The following is an 18,940-nucleotide window of genomic DNA, read 5'->3' on the forward strand; positions in this document are numbered from 1 at the left end:
CTGTTGTGGAACTAGAAGGAGGGAGATTAGAATAGTGCAAGTTTAAATGCCCTAAAACTCACTGCTCTTATCAAGATTCAGCCATTTTTCCTGAATAAACATCTGCCAGATTGTTATATGTCTTTGGCTAATATGCAGAGTTCTGAAAAAACTGATTCTGAACATTTTTTACAGCCTTTTGTTGCTTCTATGGTGATGATTTTCAGAGATTTTTACTCTGCCATTTCCATCAACTTCTCTCAATACATTGTTTTTAGATACCTTATTTTTCAACATACTCACTGAACGGTATTCTGATTGACTATTGGCTGTTGCCAGGAAACCAAAACAATCCTCAGAGGATAAAGATTATAATGAGAAAATCCAGAGCCCTGTGAAGTAGTGTCTGCCTAAGTACCCAGCTTCATCTCCCACCACTCTTCCATTGTTCTCTGGCATTAACGGTGCTAAGAATAATGTCCCTAAACTGCACATTTTCCATCTTTGCATTACATTCTTTTAACTTTTTGAATTTATTTATTATTTATTATTATTTTTTTGAGACAGAGTCTCACTCTGTTGCCCAGGCTGGAGTGCAGAGGTGCGATCTCAGCTCACTGTAACCTCCGCCTCCCAGGTTTGAGTGGTTCTCCTGCCTCAGCCTCCTTAGTAGCTGGGATTACAGGCGCCCACCACCAGGCCTGGCTAATTTTTATGTTTTTAGTAGAGATGAGGTTTCCCCATGTTGGCCAGGCTGGTTTCGAACTCCTGACCTCAGGTGATCCACCCACCTCGGCCTCTCAAAGTGCTGAGATTACAGGCGTGAGCCATCACGCCCAGCTCATTCTTTCAACTTTTATCTCTATTTTATAAATGAGGAAATTGAGCTTCAGAGAGTTTAAGTGCCCTTCTGGAAGTTAAATAGCTAGTATATGGAGTGCAGAGACCAGAATGAAGGTCTGTCTAACTCTGAAGCCAAATTCAATATTCTTTGAGAGAAACTATTTTTAAAGGAACTATACAAATTTATATGTTTGAAAAAGTATTGTCATAACTTTAACCTGTACCTCATATTTCTCAAACACATTTTGGAAAATGGGCATTTAAAGTGTGATGAGAAAATTATTTCTTTAAAGGAAACTTGAGGTTTGAGTTATTTTTAACAAAACTCTAATAATCTCTAAACCCAGATTTTTTGTATCTGAAATTAATGTAACATTAAATAAAATCTTCTTTATGTATAGGAACAGGTTTAGAATAATAAGTTTTAAGATCTTGAAGAGATCTTAGAATCCTCTCTTCTAATTACCTCATTTTATTTTATTTTTTATTTTTGAGACAGTCTCGCTCAGTCACCCAGGCCGGGGTGCCGTGGTGCGATCTTGGCTCACTGCAATCTCTGCTTCTCGGGTTCAAGCGATTCTTGTGCCTCAGCCTCCCAAGTAGCTGGGACTACAGGCACCTGCCACCACGCCCGGCTAATTTTTTTGTATTTTTAGTACAGACGGGGTTTCGCCATGTTGGCCAGGCTGGTCTCGAACTCCTGACTTCAAGTGATCTGCCCGCCTCAACCTCTCAAAGTGCTGGAATTACAGGCGTGAGCCACTGCGCCCGGCCTAATTACCTCATTTTACACATGAGAAAACCGATGCCAGGAAAGATAATGCCTTGTCCAAATGAGTCAGTAGCAGGTGGTCGCCACTGATCTTTCTACCACAAGGTCTCCTAATACCTTCCCTGCCCCTGGTGTCAAGCAGTAGTCACAGGTATGGGAACAGTCACCTAAAGACCAAGTTACTCAATGTGTAGACCACTAATGTCCACTATCAACACACTGCAAGCTTGTTTGTAGGGCAGAATCTCAGGCCCCACCCCAGGCTTAAACCTTTTAATAAGATCCCCAGGTGACTCATATACATATTAACTTCTAGAAGCATTGAGCCTTGGCTCCTACCTTTTTCTTCCCCTGAGTCTCAGTCTCATCATGGTTTCACCAGTAGGCAAAACCAATGGTGAAATAGTTTCACTTCTGCCTCTCTATTACTCAGTATCATGAACTTGCCTGGAGCCATCAAAGCTTTTCTGATTTTTTTTTTCTTCCTAACAGTATAAATAAAGAGTATAGGCTACCGAGTAAGACACTGTTCCAGATAATCCTGAACAAAATGATGCATTAGGTCCTTTGCCCTGAGTAGCCAGAAGTAGGGGGAAAGCCTGGAGGCTTTGGAGAAAGAAATGACTTGTCTCCAACTCATCCTTCCATGTCTCTTCTCTGCATACTTCCAACCCCTGCCTTCCCCCATTCTGTTAGTGTGTCCTTCAATTAGCCAATGTGGCTAATCATTTAGTATGAATTAGTTTAAGGTCTTACTCCTCCCAGGAATATTTGCAAAGAAGGGAAGGGTGGAATTTCAAACATGCGATTCCGGCTCAGAAAAGATTTAGCTGGGTAAAAGGGAGCCACCAAATCACGTGAAAGTAGGCTTGGGCCGTGGCTCCATTTCAGGAGATCCTAGTCTTCCACTTGTAGCACAAAGGTTATCTTTGCTCCTAGGTCTGTAAAATTTGCATTGTCTTATATGTAGTATTGCATGATTTTGAAAACATGTTAGATGATTTACTTTGTGTAAGGCTCATAACTATTCTGTGGGGAAGCTGGCATCATCTTCATTTTACAGGACTTAAACTTGTTTGGGGCCTTTTAGCTTCCAAATCAAACTCCAGGCTCCTTGCAATATGCTAATAAAATTGTCTCTCTTATGGGCGTTTCTTTTTTTTCTTTTTTTTTTTTGAGATGAAGTTTCGCTTTCGTTGCTCAGGCTGGAGTGCAATGGCGCCATCTGGGCTCACCGCAACCTCCGCCTCCTGAGTTCAAGCGATTCTCCTGCCTCTGCCTCCCAAGTAGCTGGGATTACAGGCATGCACCAGCATGCCTGGCTAATTTTTATTTTTAGTAGATACAGGGGTTCTTCATGTTGGTCAGGCTGGTCTTGAACTCCTGACCTCAGGTGATCTGCCTGCCTCGGCCTCTCACAGTGCTGGGATTACAGACGTAAGCCACTGTGCCTGGCCATGGGAGTTTCTTATGACTGGTTTTAGTTTAGTTTAGTTTTGTTTTGTTTTGTTTTGAGACGGAGTGTTGCTCTGTTGCCAGGCTGGAGTGCAGTGGCGCTATCTTGGCTCAGACTCACCACAACCTCCGCCTCCCAGGTTCAAGCGATTCTCCTGCCTCAGCCTCCGGAGTAACTGCGACTACAGGCACGCACCACCGCACACGGCTAATTTTTGTATTTTTAGTAGAGACGGGGTTTCACCATGTTGGCCAGGATAGTCTCGATCTCTTGACCTCGTGATCCGCCCACCTCGGCCTCCCCAAAGTGCTGGAATTACAGACATGAGCCACAATGACCAGCGTGGTTTTGTTTGTTGATTTATTTTATTTGTACACATCTTTTAAATAGATAATGCTCTCCTAGATTCAGTGTTTGAGAAACAAATTCTTCATGATACTCACTCTTCTGAGGGTATTTTCTTTTCATGGCCCAATCTTGTTTCACCGGTACATTCGCTGCTTCCTCCCTACCATATCATCATGGCCATCACTGTTCTTTTGGAATGCAGGGCCACTTCAGTCTCCAAGAGAACTGATTCTTATGTCGGAATTCTCTCTAAGCCAATCTGTTCAGCATACTTTGACACGAATGAATGGCCTCACCAGGGTGGACCAGTTCAGAGAAGGCTGACTAAGGAAGCAAAGAGCCTGGAAATCAGAACAAGAGAAGATTTTGCAGGCTTGGGACAAGTGTCTTCAATGATTTAAAGGGTTGTGATGTGAAAGAGAGATTATGTTATTTCTTAGGGGTAGAGGTAGATTTACTGTGAAGATAAATCTGGTTTAAGCTTTAGGGCTATTGTGTGGCCTCCTTCCAAGACGCTGTACCTAATTTTGAATCTTTAAATTTGTGTTATTCCAACTAAAGACCTCTTCCCCCACCATCAAATTACAGTATATGAGTTACACAAAAACTGGATATACCCCTATCTGTGTGGAACCAGAGAGCAAACCAGGACCTAGGATAGAAGTGAAAATCTCACGTGAGGGTATTTGTTCAATATATTAGTTCAGTAAAAGAAAATCTTTCCATGGGCCAAGACAATGCCACCAGGAAGTGGGTTTTGGTAGGCACCTTCTTTTTTTTTTTTTTTGAGAGGAGTCTCACTCTGTTGCCAGGCTGGAGTGCAGTGGCGCGATCTCGGCTCACTGCACCTCCACCTCTGGTGTTCAATCGATTCTCCTACCTCAGCCTACCAAGTAGCTGGGATTACAGGCGCCCACTACCACGCCCAGCTAATTTTTGTATTTTTTTAGTAGAGACGGGGTTTCACCATGTTGGCCAGGCTGGTCTCAATCTCCTGACCTCGTGATCCACCCACCTCGGCCTCCCAAAGTGCTGGGATTACAGGCGTGAGCCGCCGTGCCAGGCTGGTAGGCACCTTCTATAGCTACCCACAGTTATTTGTCTCAGCAACATTCTCTCTTTGAGGCTAATAGAATTTGGATTTGTTCAGAAAGTTAAGGAGAGCCCTTGGTCTCCAGCTCCCAAGGGTGAATCCTGACTGGTCTAAGCCAGTCATGGTATTCTCTTTCCCTATGGCCTTTAATTGGTCTGAGTTAGGGCAGGTAGTGTAGTTCTGGCCGGAGACAGGGGGTGCTGGTACTTTCTTCTCTGAATTAAAAGACAAGGCTTCAGGTAAAGGTCTTTTTCCCCTTCCCTTTTATTCCTGAAACTCAAGAAAGCTGGAGATAAGCATCCGTCCTGTGGCCAGTATGCTAGAAGCATGAAAACCAAGGTCAACATGCTAAGGGTGGCAAAGCAGAAATGGTAAAGGGGTTTAGGATCCTTACAGCATTGTTGAGGAGCAGAACCAGTACTAATAGCTGCCTACCTCTAGATTACTTATGTGAGAAAAATAAACTCCTTATTTTTCAAATAACAGTTAAAATTTCCCATTACTTCCAGCCAAATGCATTTTTCCTTGATACAGCTATATTTAAGGAGAGGGCTTTCTCTGTCTCTGGCAGAAGTCAATTTTCTGGTGAATTTATCACGAAACGTGTGTTACAGAGGGTCCCTATGTCTAGAAGAGAGGATCTGGGGAGACAATGATTTGTTATTAGGAATAATTTCACATAATTAGAACATGAACAACTTTCTATGACTTGGGCCCTTAAGTTTCATCCTCCTTTCCTCAAGTCTTCATATTTCCTTTAGCCTATAACCATCTTTCTCAACAGATTTCTCTAACCTCATCCACAGCCTCCTTCAGTTCCACCTTTTTTTTTTCTGGAGATGGAGTCTTGGTCTGTCACTCAGCCTGGAGTGCAGTGGCGCCATCTCAGCTCATTGCAACCTCCGCCTCCTGGGTTCAAGTGATTCTCCTGCTTCAGCCTCCCGAGTAGCTGGGACTACAGGCACACACTGGCACGCCTGGCTAATTTTTGTATTTTTAGAAGAGATAGGGTTTCACCTTATTGGTCAGGCTGGTCTCGAACTCCCGACCTCAGGTGATCTACCCGCCTCGGCCTCCCAAAGTGCTGGGATTACAGGCATGAGCCACCGTGCCCAGCCCCAGTTCCATCTTTGATAGGAGATAGAAAAAAAGATTGAGCAGGATGGATGAAGAGGACACTGTTTTTCAAAACTGGTATGCTTTTCAACAATTTAGGAGAATAAGATATGTTTATAAGTATTGACAGAATTCACTTCCATTTCTGATCTGTAATCAGATAAACCAGAACTTTTCAAATGAGTAAACATCAGGTAAACATGGAAAGAGACAGTCTGGACAGGCTGAGGGGATGGCACTGAAGACCCTGCAGTTTTCCAACTGGCTAATCAGACCCCTGGGAAGAAGGAATGCTTTTCGGGGTACCTGGCCCAGGTGGGTTTGTTTGTTGTTTTTTGTTTTGTTTTGTTTTTAGACAGAGTTTCACTCGCATTGCCCAGGCTGGAGTGCAGTGCAGAGAAAGCAGCTCACTGAAACCTCCGCCTCCTGAATTCACGCGATTCTCCTGCCTCAGCCTCCTGAGTAGCTGGGACGGTTTTCACCATGTTGCTCAGGCCAATCTCGAATTCCTGAGCTAGAACTCTTGAGCCTTGGCCTTCCAAAATGCTGGGATTACAGGTGTCCAGGTGGTATTTTTTTAAATACTCTTTTTTTTTTTTTCAGACAGAGTCTCTGTCGTCCAGGCTGGAGTGCAATGGTGCAATCTCAGCTCACTGCAACCTCCACCTCCTGAGTTCAAAAGATTCTCCTGCCTCAGCCTCCCTAGTAGCTGGGATTACAAGCATGTGCCATCACACCCAGTTAATTTTTGTATTTTTAGTAGAGACGGGGTTTTACCATGTTGGTCAGGCTGGTCTCGAACTCCTGACCTCAAGTGATCCTCCTGCCTCGGCCTCCCAAAGTGCTGGGATTACAGGCATGAGCCACCACATTCGGTCTAAAGGACTTTATTATGAAAAATTTTAGATAGAATAGTTTAACGTCCCCATCACCCAGCCTCAGTTTATGGCCCATTCTTGTTTCATCTATACCATTGCTGCTTCCCCCTGCCATATCATTTCGTTTTTTTGTTGAGATAAAGATGCAAGATGACCAGCAACAATTCCTCCCATCCCTGAACACCCATGCTGCTCCTCTCATGAAGAGTGATGAAAATATTCCACAATTAGATTGTGGTTTGTGGTTCTACAACTCTGTGAAAATACCCAAAGCCATGGAAGTGTACACTTTAAGTGGGTGCATTATATCTCAATAAAGATGTTTTTAAAAGGTGGAGAAGGAAAATTTCTCTATTTTAATAATATTTAAAGAAAAAAAAAGAGGTAGAGTCTCTTTCATCTCCTTGAAACTGGGCGGCCTCTGTGATTTGCTTAAACCATTAACAGGCAGCAGAAGGGACGCTCCGTGACTGCTGGGCATAGCCCTTCATAGGCCTCAGAGCTTCTGTTTTCACTGTTTTGCCACACCAGCGGATCTGCAAGAGAGTAGCCCAGGCAGAACTCAGCTGTTCTTTGCAGCCACCCCAGCGGAGATGCCACACAGACCAGTGAAACCACCTTGGCAGCTCCAGCACCTGTTGAGCTGCCCAGCCAACACCACATGGGGCAGAGATGAGCTGCCAAGCCTGTCTACTACGTTTTGGGGTGGTGGAGGAGTGGGCAGTGCCAAATCCCGAGAAGAAGCTCAATGAGTATTTGTCTCTTTTCATTTCAGCAAGCAGAGGGTCCTCAAGGTAACACCTTCCAGTGGCTCCCCCACCTCTCTCAGAGCTCTAGCCAGGGCCCACAAGGCCCTACATCTTACCCCTTTCCTCTCTGACTGTCACCTCCTCTTCCTCTTGCTTCCTCACTTCTAGCCACACTGGACTTCCTTGAAAAGACAGACCTGTCCCCTTGCAGGGCCTTTTGCCCTTGCTGTTCCCTTCGGTTCTCCCCAGATGGCCACAGGGTTCCTCCCACACCTCCTCTAGGTCTTCATTCAAATGCTACCTTTTTTTTTTTTTTTGAGACTGAGTCTGGCTTTGTCGCCAGGCTGGAGTGCAGTGGCGTGATCTGGGCTCACTGCAACTTCCGCCTCCCGGGTTCGAGCGATTCCCCTGCCTCAGCCTCCTGAGTAGCTGGGACTACAGTCGGACGCCACCAGGCTCAGCTAATTTTTGTATTTTTAGTGGAGACGGAGTTTCACAGTGTTGGCCAGGCTGGTCTCGATCTCCTGACCTCGTGATCCGCCCGCCTCGGCCTCCCAAAGTGTTGGGATTACAGGAGTGAGCCACCGCGCCCAGCCAAATGCCACCTTCTTATTGTGACCTGCTATGTAAAATCGCAAACCCTCACTGCCTGTGGTTATTCCCTACTTGTACTTTTCTTTTTAGCATTTACCAATGTCTGACAGTATTTAATTTCACTAATTTATCTCGTTTATTTTATGTCTCGTTTATATTCCTGCTATAACGTAAACTCCGGGAAGGATTTTTGTCTGTCTTGGTTGTCTGTCGTATCTCGTGTCTAGAACACAGAACTCACAGTAAGTAGGCACTTCAATCAATTACCTGTAGAATGAACGGACTGAATGTCACCTTGTTAGAGTACCCTCCTGACCACACTCTGCTAAGCAGTAATCTTTTATTTCTCTTTCCCAGTTTTATTTTTCCTCATTTACACTTAATCACCTTGTGACACCTATTTGTTTACTGTTTCCCCAGTAGAGTGAAAGTCACTTTAACAGCAGAGATTTAAATGTATTTTAATCCCTACAAAGGAGAAAAAGGGAGGAAATACGTGACAGGCTCTCAATAAGTATTTGCGAAGGATTTAATCTCTTGAACGAATGGATGAATGAATCTAGCAGCCAGCTCCACCAGCCTCCTTCGTGATAGGACTAACTGGGGTCTGTCTGCGGACGGGCGCCTCCTCCGCGGGCGGAGGGCCGCAGCGGGAACTGGGTTTCGGCAGCGCCCCTTTAAACCAGCCGCGGACGCCCGGCTGCTGGCGCTAGTTCCAGCCCGGCCGGGCCCGGCCTCGCCGGTTTCTCTCCAGTCGCCGCGCCGGCCAATTTCCGGGGCGGTGTCATCGCCCGTTTAAGAGCGGAGCGCTCCGCCCTGGGGGCGGAGCTGGGAGGGAGCTTTAAGGGGTGGACGGGCGGGAGGTCGGGGTCCTCCGGGGATTAGAGCCGGTGGGCTCGTTGTGGGCGCCATTTCTCGGCGTCTACCGAGGAGCCGCCCCTTTCTCAGCCTTGCTCGGCTCTTCCCCGCTCTGGTCGCCGGGGCTGCGCCGTCCCCAGCTCAGGTAAGCGCGAGGCCCGGCGGCGGCGCCGCAGTACAGTCCGCTGCGCTCCTAGCCGAGTGGACCCTTCCTCGCCCGCGCCTGCGGTAGCGGCCTTGTCCCCGGGGAGGCGGGCGGGGGCCGCACCCAGACCCTAGGGCGGCCGGCCCCTCTCTCGTCGGGCCGGCAGGGCATTAATCCCGCCGGAGGGAGGGGCGGCGGCGGCCAATGAGGCAGGGCCGCCGAGTTTCGGTCGATACCGCGCGACGGGCCGGGGCGGAGGGCCCGGGGCAGCCGGGTTAATGTTTGCCGAGCGGACGCGCTCCCCGAGCCGCGGGTACCCCTCGCTGGTCCGCTGGGCTGCCGTCCAGCGGGAGAGACAAAAGTCGCAAGGGAAGGGGAAAAACGAACTGAGTTTGTGTCACTGTCTTGGTGGACTTTTCGAGCTAACCTGTATTTGAGAAAAACTTCAGTCTCTTGGGAAAGGAGAGGCAGGTGTGTTCCCATGAAAGACGAGGTCTGAAGGTCCCGCCCCGCCCCCACCCGGGACGGTTGTCGTGCTAATGATGGGTTCTTTGGTGTGTAAATGTTAATTGTGTCTGTGGTTACTCGAATTCTACCTAAGAGCGAGACCCAACTCTTAAAACGTTTGGCAATATTTTAGACTAATATTAAAAGTTTTTAAAGAATTACGGGGAAAATTCCCATAACCGTGTACATTTGTAATGTAACCCACAACTGCATTAACTCAGTTTCTAACATAACCCGTTGCTGAGCTCTAGTTAACCTTGTTGGATTATTTGTGCATGTAATATGCTGTGCAGGCTTTAGAAAATAGGTTAACATTATTCGAAAACGATATGCGTAACTGCTGTTGAATTACTCGCTTGCATTTTCTTTATTGGGAATACTGGGACAAAATATAGTGTTACCTTAAATGGCATTTGCTGTATGTTATATTGCTTTATCAAAAAGCAATTAACCAACCATATTGTGGCCACCAGTCATGTAAGAGTATACATATTTCATGACTAACTTTTGGGTTTTGGGTACTTTTTTTAACCAACTTCTGATAGGATTGCTTAAATTTGCATTTTATGATTCTAAAGGAAATCCTTCTAGTTAGGAACTAGAGTAGAAACTACTGTTTTTTGGAAGCCACATAAACCTACCATCCAAAAATTCCACTGTGTCATTCTAGTGTGTCAGGCGAGATGCGGGTTAAGCCAGCTGTTGGGCCAAAGTAGTGAACAAGCCAGACGAAGTCTTTGTCCTTGTGTGTGAGTGGGGGAAGTAGTCAGTAAAAAAGATAATAATTAACAGATATTTAATTACAATTTCTTTGTTATAAAGAAAAGGCTAAGAGTACTGAAAGAGATGTCGAATTTAGACTCACAAGTCTGAGATTGCTTTTCTGAGAATAAGACATTTCAACTATAAGTCTGAAGTTAGTCCAGTGAAATGGGAGCGGGTGGAAGAGAGGTCAACTGGAAAAAGAGCAATCCAGAAAGGTGGAACAGCTAATGAAAAATGGTCCAGAATTAAAAAGACTCTCCGGCCGAGCAGCAAGAGTACAAGAGCAGAGCAAACAGAGGGGAGTAGGCTGACAGATGGGTCAGGCAAGTAGGAGGAGCTGCATCTAGGACCAGGGCCATTAAAGATTTTAGAACAGGGATCAGATTTGTGGTTGCCAAAAATCCAGTGGCTGCAACATGAAGAGCGCAATTGGAAGAGTGCAGGTGGGAGGGGAAAAGTGAGTATGAGAAAACTTTTTTCACAATCATTAAAAAAAAAAAAAACCCACAACTTTTAGTGATCCATTCATATTATTTTTTTTTTCCATTAAAAAAAATTAGGCCAGGCGCAGTGGCTCACGCCTGTAATCCCAGCACTTTGGGAGGCCGAGGCGGGCGGATCACGAGGTCAGGAGATGGAGACTATCCTGGCTAACACGGTGAAACCCCGCCTCTACTAAAAAAAATAACAAAAAATTAGCCGGTCGTAGCGGCGGGCACCTGTAGTCCCAGCTACTTGGGAGGCTGAGGCAGAAGAATGGCGTAAACCCGGGAGGCAGATCTTGCAGTGAGCCCAGATCGCGCCACTGCACTTCAGCCTGGGCAACAGAGCGAGACTCAAAAAAAAAAAAAAAATTAGGTGGGGTCTTGCTGTGTTGCCCAGGCAGGTCTTGAACTCCTGGCTTCCAACAGTTCCGCCTTAGCCTCCCAAAGTGCTGGGATTACAGACATGAGCCACTGTACCCAGCCATATATTCTTGTTGTGACTTCTGACATGCCCCTCTTCAGAGAGAATCTCAACAGTTTACGTGTGTGTCTGTTTAGCGTGTCTGTGTGTGTGCATGTATCCCATCTCCGTGTAGGATGAAACTCTCTTCAGTGTTCTGTGATTTGATTTTTCACTTAGAAATTTTGTCATATCTAAGTCAACTATTTATTTAAAACAACTGTATTATGGCTGGGCTTGGTGCCTCATGCGTGTAATCCCAGCACTTTGGGAGGCTGAGGTGGGAGGAATCCGATTCCCTGAGGCCAGGAGTTTGAGACAAACCTGGCTAAGTAGCAAGACCCTGTCTCTACAAAAAATCATTGAAAAAACGTTAGCCCGGTGGGATGGTATGTGCCCGTAGCCCTAGGTGGGAGAATCCCTTGAGCATGGTAGATGAAGGCCGCAGTGAGCCCTGGGTGCTAGAGTGAGACTGTCTCTAAAAAAAAAAAAAAAAAAACATAAAAATAAAACAACTGTATTGTATGCTGTTGTGTGTACCATAACTTGTTTAACTGTTTGCACATTGATGAACACATTTAAAATTTTCTTAAATCAGTTATGCTCCGAAAAATCCTGTTCCTACAACTTAAAGCACATGTGTGATTTTTTTTCTTTAGGTTATCCTTCCAGAAATAGAACTGTTGAGTAAGGAATATGCATGTTAAAATTTCTAGTATTGGTCCGGCGAGGTGGCTTACGCCTGTAATCCTAGCACTTTGGGAGGCCGAGGCGGGCGGATCACCTGAGGTCAGAAGTTTGAGACCAGCCTGGCCAACATGGTGAAACCCAGTATCTACTAAAAGCACAAAAATTAGCTGGGCGTGGTGGCTGGTACCTGTAATCCCTGCTACTCAGGAGGCCAAGGCAAGAGAATCTCTTGAACCCGGCAGGTGGAGGTTGCAGTGAGCCGAGATCGCGCCATTGCACTGCAACCTGGGGGACTAGGTTGAGACTGTCTCAAAAAAAAAAAGAATTAAAAAAATATTAATAGCATGGTCAAGTCTCCCTCCAAAAAAGGCCAACGTAGGAGGATTATTTTTTCTCACATTCTTTTTTACACTATCTTGAGTCTTTAAATGACAGACAATATCTTATTTTTTTTCATTTGGATTTTCTTGGATACTGTTAAAGGTGTTCGTTTTTATGAACATCTTTTAAATTATCTTTTAGGACTTTTTCGTATCTTGCTCTTTGTTCTTTTTTTGATGTAGAGTCTCAGTCTCACTCAGGTTGGAGTGCACTGGTGGGATATCATAAAATGTTTCTTGGGAGATATTGGTGGAGTTAAAAGGAATATGTAGGGATTCTGTGACACAGGATTTTAGAAATCTGGGATAACAAGTACAGTCTTAGGCAGCTGAAATGAGACTGGATAGCAAGTTCCAAAGGGAGAAATACCTGGAAAAAAAAATCTGGAGAAAGAGACTGGGACCAGGTATTATATATGAGTGTTTGGAACACTGGAAAGTTATCTAACTAAAATTTTAGTTATTTCCTTGGGATTAGTTTACCTAATTACGCAAGAGTATACATGTGTAAAATGTGTAGGCTAATCTTCAGTGTATAGACATTTTAATATGGTACTATCTTAAAAATCGGATTTTATCGGGTTTATAAATAAATCTAGTTGAAAAAGTCATTTTATCTGAAGGCTTCTCTTGAAAAACAGCATTCTCCTGAATTCTTTTGCTCCCTCTCCTGAGGCAATCATTTTCACATTTTAAATCAAATGCTCTTACTGCTAATTGTTGATTTTTAAATTCTAGTAATGACCTGTTGGCTTGCTGTTACGCATCATGAGGAATTAGCTCTTTCCATATCTGTATCCCCTACCTCTTATTATGTACCTCCTGTCTGTTGTGGTTATTGTTCGATCAGTATTTAGTATTTGACATTGAAATCATTAGCAGCTGAGTCATGTAGTGTATTGTGATTTACTTTTCCTTTTCTGCACAGCTTCTTGTTTTCTTTGGAATTAATAGTCTTTTTGGCTTATTTGTTGGCTTATGTGTACTTAAACTCTCTTTGTTGTGCAAATGAAACACATGAGGATAGCAAAGTGACTTTGATTTTGTGTTTCCATTTAGTGTGCTATGTTTTAAAACCTGTTTTAACTGTTTTGATTAACATTAATGTTCTTTATAGAGTTAAGGAAAAAAGCATTAAAGTACTTTGACATTAAAAAGATTTATGTTAAGTAGTTATTTAAAATCTGTATGTAATAGAATATTTGACAAAACTTAGGAAATTTGAATTATATCTGTATTTTAGCTGAAATAGGTGATTGTTTTTGTGTTTTTATTATGAATGCTCAGAAAAGAAATGGAACTTCTCAGGATTTTTTTTGAGACAGAATCTCCCTCTGCCACCCGGGCTGGAGTGCAGTGAGGCATCTCAGCTCACTGCAAGCTCCGCCTCCCGGGTTCACGCCATTCTCCTGCCTCAGCCTCCCCAGTAGCCGGGACTACAGGCACCCGCCACCACACCCGGCCAATTTTTTTTTTTTTTTTGAGACGGAGTCTTGCTCTGTCGCCCAGGCTGGAGTACCGTGGCGCCATCTCGGCTCACTGCAAGCTCCACCTCCCGGGTTCATGCCATTCTCCTGCCTCAGCCTCCCGGTAGCTGGGACTACAGGCGCCTGCTACCACGCCCGGCTAATTTTTTTTTGTATTTTTTTTTAGTAGAGACGGGGTTTCACCATGTTAGCCAGGATGGTCTCGATCTCCTGACCTCGTGATCCACCTGCCTTGGCCTCCCAAAGTGCTAGAATTACAGCCGTGAGCCACCGCGCCCGGCCACTTCTCAGAATTTTTATGATCATCAAAGGATACCTTAGTGTCTGACATCATCTTGGGATATACAAGATGTTGTACATATAATTTATCTATTTAGAAGACCTGATGAACTTCATGAATGTTTGCCTTCTCCTGCCAAATCAGTTCCTGATAAAATGGTCCGGTAAATTTAGAAAGCTCCAAACTGTGGCTGTGTCTTATACATACAAGTCTTTTAAAACTTTGAATTAAAGTAACCAGCTTTTTAAATTAATTAATTTACTTTTTAATTGACAAAAATTGTGTATATTTATCATTTATAATATGTCTTGAAATATTTATGAAAAGCCAGTTTTAATGATTTTTTTTTTCAAATTTACTTGACCAGGAGCCCTTTTTGTTTTTTATTTACTTATTTTTTGAGACAGGGTCTTGCTCTGTTGCCTGAGCTGGAATGCAGTGGCGCAATCCCAGCTCACTGCCGCTTTGACTGCCTGGGGTCAAGTGATCCTTCTGCCTCACAGCCCCTCAAGTAGCTGGGACCACAGGCATGCACCACCACACCTGGCTAATTTTATTTTTAGTAGTGATTAGTTCTCACTATGTTGCCCAGGCTGGTCTTGAACTCCTGGGCTCTAGCAGTCCTTCTGCCTAGGCCTCCCGAAGTGTTGAGATTGCAGGCGTGAGTCACTGCACCCAGCCCAGGTGTCCTTTTTAGTAGCATTTCTACTAATGTTCACAGGACTTGACTAAATAATGCCATTTGACTGACTGCAAGTTGTGGAGAATCTCATTTTTTTCCTGATGCCATCTTTTTCTCTCTGTTTTTATAGTGACAAAAATGCTGAGTTTCTTCCGTAGAACACTAGGGCGTCGGTCTATGCGTAAACATGCAGAGAAGGAACGACTCCGAGAAGCACAACGCGCCGCCACACATATTCCTGCAGCTGGAGATTCTAAGTCCATCATCACGTGTCGGGTGTCCCTTCTGGATGGTACTGATGTTAGTGTGGACTTGCCAGTAAGTAGGTCTTGCTGAGCTCCAAATTCTGTTTGCGATTACTGTCTTTGTTTGTTTGTTTAAAAGCTTTGTATTGGTAACTTCTGGATGGAAATAAGTAAAGGTATTATGGGTTAGTATAGATCAGGCACTGTAACATTCAGGTACATGGATCAGATAACCGTAGACCAAAAGTACTTGGATTGGTGGTATTTCTCTTTGGAATTAGTGGCGATTACCTGAAACATTTAAATGACAGGGCAGTTATTGGCATGAGTCTGTTTCATGTGTCTTTCTATGTGTTCTTTGTGATGGCAGCACATGATGTAGTCTAGTGGATTTCTGACAATCCTTGTTGAACCATTATTAAAACGTTGTGAATCTTTGAGAATAACAACACTTAAATGTGTACTGTAAGACTTTTAGCTTCTATGCACTTCTGTATTTTTTAAAACTCTCCTTACTTTCTTCTAAATAAATATTTCCCCACAATTTGGTTTACTTGCAGACATTAATGAGGTGAAGTGAGAAAAAGGACTTTCTTCATACCCCTCAGCTCTGACTGCCTGTCTCTTTGCTCCTGAAGTATTTTGCATTGTAGGTTTTTCATACACTGTAGTCTTTATCTCAAGACAGGCTGTTGTAATTATATTTGCATTTTGGATAGATTTTTTTTTTTTCAGAAATATATAATCATAACTCAGTGTGAAACAATCTGACATGTTTGAAAGGGGTTAGCTTATTTTTTTACAGGACTTTTTGGGTGGAGGAGGGGAAGAAAAGGTTGGCTTTTTGGTTTTGGGCAGTTGAATATTTTTCTGAGTTGCTTGCTAATACCAAATCTCTTTCTCATGTCTTTGTTCTGCATTCAAAGACTTAACGGTAAATTACATCATTTGATGTGAGCTTCATAGGATATTCCTTAATGTCTTTTCTCCCCACAGACTTTTTAGTACACACTCATCTACCCAAAATTCAATTTAAAAAGTCTCTTTGGGCAAAGTGATAGCCTACGTGCTGCTGTAATACATAATTGAATAAGCTCGGGAAGACCTTAAACTCACCAAGTGAGAGTATAAGGAATTGGAGAGTTTGTTTAAATGGATGTTCTGATTAACTTAATAATTTGGAATGTATTAGATATGTACATTATACATTTTAAAATATTAGAATATGATAAAATTAATCAAAGACTCAGGATTTCTTGAAGTGTTTTGAAGTCATCATTACGTGTATTTGTTATCTTTGTCTATAAGAATGTATATTTTTAGGGTTTTTGATTCTGGACAACTTGAAAGCATCTAAATTTTCTTCCTGTAAGTGCTTCTTGAGGGTTTATCAGACATTCCAACATGAGATATTTTGTGAGGATAGTTTTCATACTCATTTCTTATTTGATAGGAATCTTAAGAGTTTTGTTTACTATTTCATTAAAATATCATTGGATATGTGGTGAAAAGCCTGAGATTGCTGTGTAAGAGACTGGAAAGAAATTTCTTATTACCTAATGTTTGAAGTATGAAGTTTCAGGGTTGTTGATGGACAAGCTGATAGTAGGAGAGTAGAATTTGTAAAAAAAAAAAAAAGAGGTTTTTAAAAACGCAGTGCAGTATGGAGGAGAAACAACACTAGCTTTTAAAGTGGTGGAACAAATGGCTAGTTACTGATCTGGAATGGTTTCCTAAACTTTGTATGCTTAGCTGGGTGTATGTGATGCTTGATCAAATTTATAAACTAGCTGGTCTCTCATGGGGACAATTGTAGTGAAACAGCTGGAGATATAGATTGGACTTTTTGTGAAACAAGAACAGTTGTCAGCCAGGTGCAGTGGCTTATGCCTGTAATCCCAGCACTTTGGGAGGCTGAGGCAGACAGAACCCTTAGGCCAGGAGTTCGAGACCAGCCTGGCCAACATGGTGAAACCCATCTGTACTAAAAATACAAAAATTAACCGGGCGTGGTGGCATGCGCCTGTAGTCCCAGCTACTCAGGAGGCTGAGGCAGGAGAATCACTTGAACCTGGGAGGTGGAGATTGCAGTGAGCTGAGATCGCGCCACTGCACTCCAGTCTGGGTGACAGCAAGACTCCGTCTCAAAAAAAAAGAAAAAGGAACAATTGGGCCAGGTGCAGTGGCTCACGCCGGTAATCGCAGCACTTTGGGAGGCCGAGGTGGGCGGATCACAAGGTCAGGAGTTTGAGACCAGTCTGGCCAACATAGTGAAACCCCGTCTCTACTAAAAATACAAAATAGCTGGGTGTGGTGGCGGACGCCTGTAATCCCAGCTACTTGGGAGGCTGAGGCAGGAGAATCGCTTGAACCCAGGAGGCAGAGGTTGCAGCGAGCTGAATTCGCACCACTGCACTCCAGCCCGGGTGACAGTGCGAGACTCCATCTCAAAAAAAAGGAACAACTGTCTTTCCAATTCTGTAGGTGAAATCGTACTTATTAACCTAACTCTAGGTACGTGCATGGATATAAAGTGGTCATTGGCCTGTTTTACTAAATTGTCACTAAAGGAAAAAATAGTCCAGAAGAATAATAATTTCTAAAAAAGAAGAAATGATTTCCCCTTTTCAGATTTATTTTCTCAACCAGTCTACTGTGATTCTGGGAGAAGATTTAGAATTGATTTTAGAAATTGAATGAAGCACATACTCATTTCCCATTACGATAAGGGTCTAGGATAAGGGTCACTAGTGATTATAGTTAGCCGTCTTCTTCCTTTAAAGAAAAAAAATTAAATAGGGTGAGAAGGCCTTTCAGTGAATGACAAAGGTATCAGGTAGAAATTTCTATCTAATTTTTAAGTTTTTTCTTTGAAAATACGACAGTAAACTTGTTTAAGAGCTTAGTATTGGTAAATAGCTTTAATGTAAAACCCTTATAAGTTTTAAATTGGGAAATGTTTGGTCAATTAACCAATAGATAACAATTTTTTTTCCTTTTTTTAAATTGTACTTTAAGTTCTGGGATACATGTGCAGAACGTGCAGGTTTATTACATAGGTATACACGTGCCATCGTGGTTTGCTGTACACATCAACCCGTCATCTACATTAGGTATTTCTCCTAATACTATCCCTCCCCTAACCCCCCACCCCCCGACAGGCCCTGGTGTGTGATGTTCTCCTCCCTGTGTCTGTGTGTTCTCATTGTTCAGCTCCCACTTATGAGTGAGAACATGTGGTGTTTGGTTTTCTGTTCCTGTGTTAGTTTGCTGAGAATGATGGTTTCCAGCTTCATCTGTGTCCCTGCAAAGGACGTGAACTCATCCTTTTTATGGCTGCATAGTATTCCATGGGGTATATGTGCCACATTTTCTTTATCCAGTCTATCATTGATGGGCATTTGGGTTGGTTCCAAGTCTTTGCTATTGTGAATAGTGCTGCAGTAATCATACATGTGCATGTGTCTTTACAGTAAGATGATTTATAATTCTTTGGGTATATACCCAGTAATGGAATTGCTGAGTCAGGTGATATTTCTGGTTCTAGATCCTTGAGGAATTGCCACACTGTCTTCCACAATGGTTGAACTAATTTACACTCCCACTAACAGTGTAAAAGCATTCCTATTTCTCCACATCCTCTCCAGCACCTGTTGTTTCCTGACTTTATTGATGGCCATTCTAACTGGCATGAGATGGTATCTCATTGTGATTTTGATTTGCATTTCTCTAATGGCCAGTGATGATGAGCTTTTTTTCATATGTTTGTTGACTGCATAAATGTCTTTTTTTGAGAAGTGTCCATTCATATCCTTCACCCACTTTTTGATGGGGTTGTTTGTTTTTTTCTTGTAAATTTGTTTAAGTTCCTTGTAGATTCTGGATATTAGCCCTTTGTCAGATAGATAGATTGCAAAAACTTTCTCCCATTCTGTAGTTTGCCAGATGATAGTTTCTTTTGCTGGGCAAAATAAAAAGAAGCTCTTTAGTTTAATTAGATCCCATTTGTCAATTTTGGCTTTTGTGGCCATTGCTTTTGGTGATATAGTCATGAAGTCTTTGCCCATGCCTATGTCCTAAATGGTATTGCCTAGGTTTTTTTCTAGGGTTTTTATGGTTTTAGGTTTT

General features: G+C 43.2%; 1 protein-coding gene and 1 long non-coding RNA gene across 16 annotated transcripts in view, besides 2 other annotated features; both read left to right on the forward strand.

The window, feature by feature from the left end:
* Nucleotides 2,594–2,888: an enhancer, noted in NCBI's record as "tiled region #12882; HepG2 Activating non-DNase unmatched - State 2:TssF, and K562 Activating DNase matched - State 8:EnhW". NCBI's record gives its function as "activates a minimal TATA promoter and a strong SV40 promoter by Sharpr-MPRA in HepG2 and K562 cells {active_cell/tissue: HepG2 | K562}" and the evidence as "EXISTENCE:reporter gene assay evidence [ECO:0000049][PMID:27701403]".
* Nucleotides 3,462–8,325, forward strand: LOC107985817 (uncharacterized). Of its 3 annotated transcripts, none has more exons than XR_001739205.2 (4): nt 3,462–3,802; nt 5,768–5,922; nt 7,261–7,279; nt 8,014–8,325. It is a non-coding gene; the product is annotated as an uncharacterized LOC107985817 (long non-coding RNA). The 3 variants fall into 3 exon arrangements; XR_001739206.2 differs by lacking the exon at nt 3,462–3,802 and adding an exon at nt 5,554–5,685 and having other exon boundaries at nt 6,933–7,279; XR_001739204.2 differs by lacking the exon at nt 3,462–3,802 and adding an exon at nt 5,554–5,685.
* Nucleotides 8,326–8,697: 372 nt separating this feature from the next.
* Nucleotides 8,698–18,940, forward strand: part of EPB41L5 (erythrocyte membrane protein band 4.1 like 5) — a 166,043-nt gene continuing 155,800 nt past the window's right edge. For 7 of the 13 annotated variants that reach the window (NR_138472.2, NR_135920.3, XM_006712651.2 and 4 more), the window contains exons 1-2: nt 8,698–8,831; nt 14,698–14,885. Coding sequence is in view for 9 of the 13 variants with exons in the window: in XM_006712651.2 (XP_006712714.1) it covers nt 14,706–14,885 (180 nt within the window). In the remaining 4 variants the exon portion in view is untranslated. Of the gene's footprint in view, nt 9,303–14,550; nt 14,570–14,697; nt 14,890–18,940 lie in introns of those variants that run through there. The other 6 variants (XM_047445208.1, XM_047445210.1, NM_001184938.4 and 3 more) reach the window with 4 other exon arrangements.
* Nucleotides 8,874–9,043: a silencer, noted in NCBI's record as "silent region_11915". NCBI's record gives its function as "represses an Ori minimal core promoter by ATAC-STARR-seq in GM12878 lymphoblastoid cells {active_cell/tissue: GM12878}" and the evidence as "EXISTENCE:reporter gene assay evidence [ECO:0000049][PMID:35858748]".

The sequence above is a fragment of the Homo sapiens genome, chromosome 2 (assembly GCF_000001405.40).
Source record: "Homo sapiens chromosome 2, GRCh38.p14 Primary Assembly".
NCBI classification, from domain to species: Eukaryota; Metazoa; Chordata; class Mammalia; order Primates; family Hominidae; genus Homo; species Homo sapiens.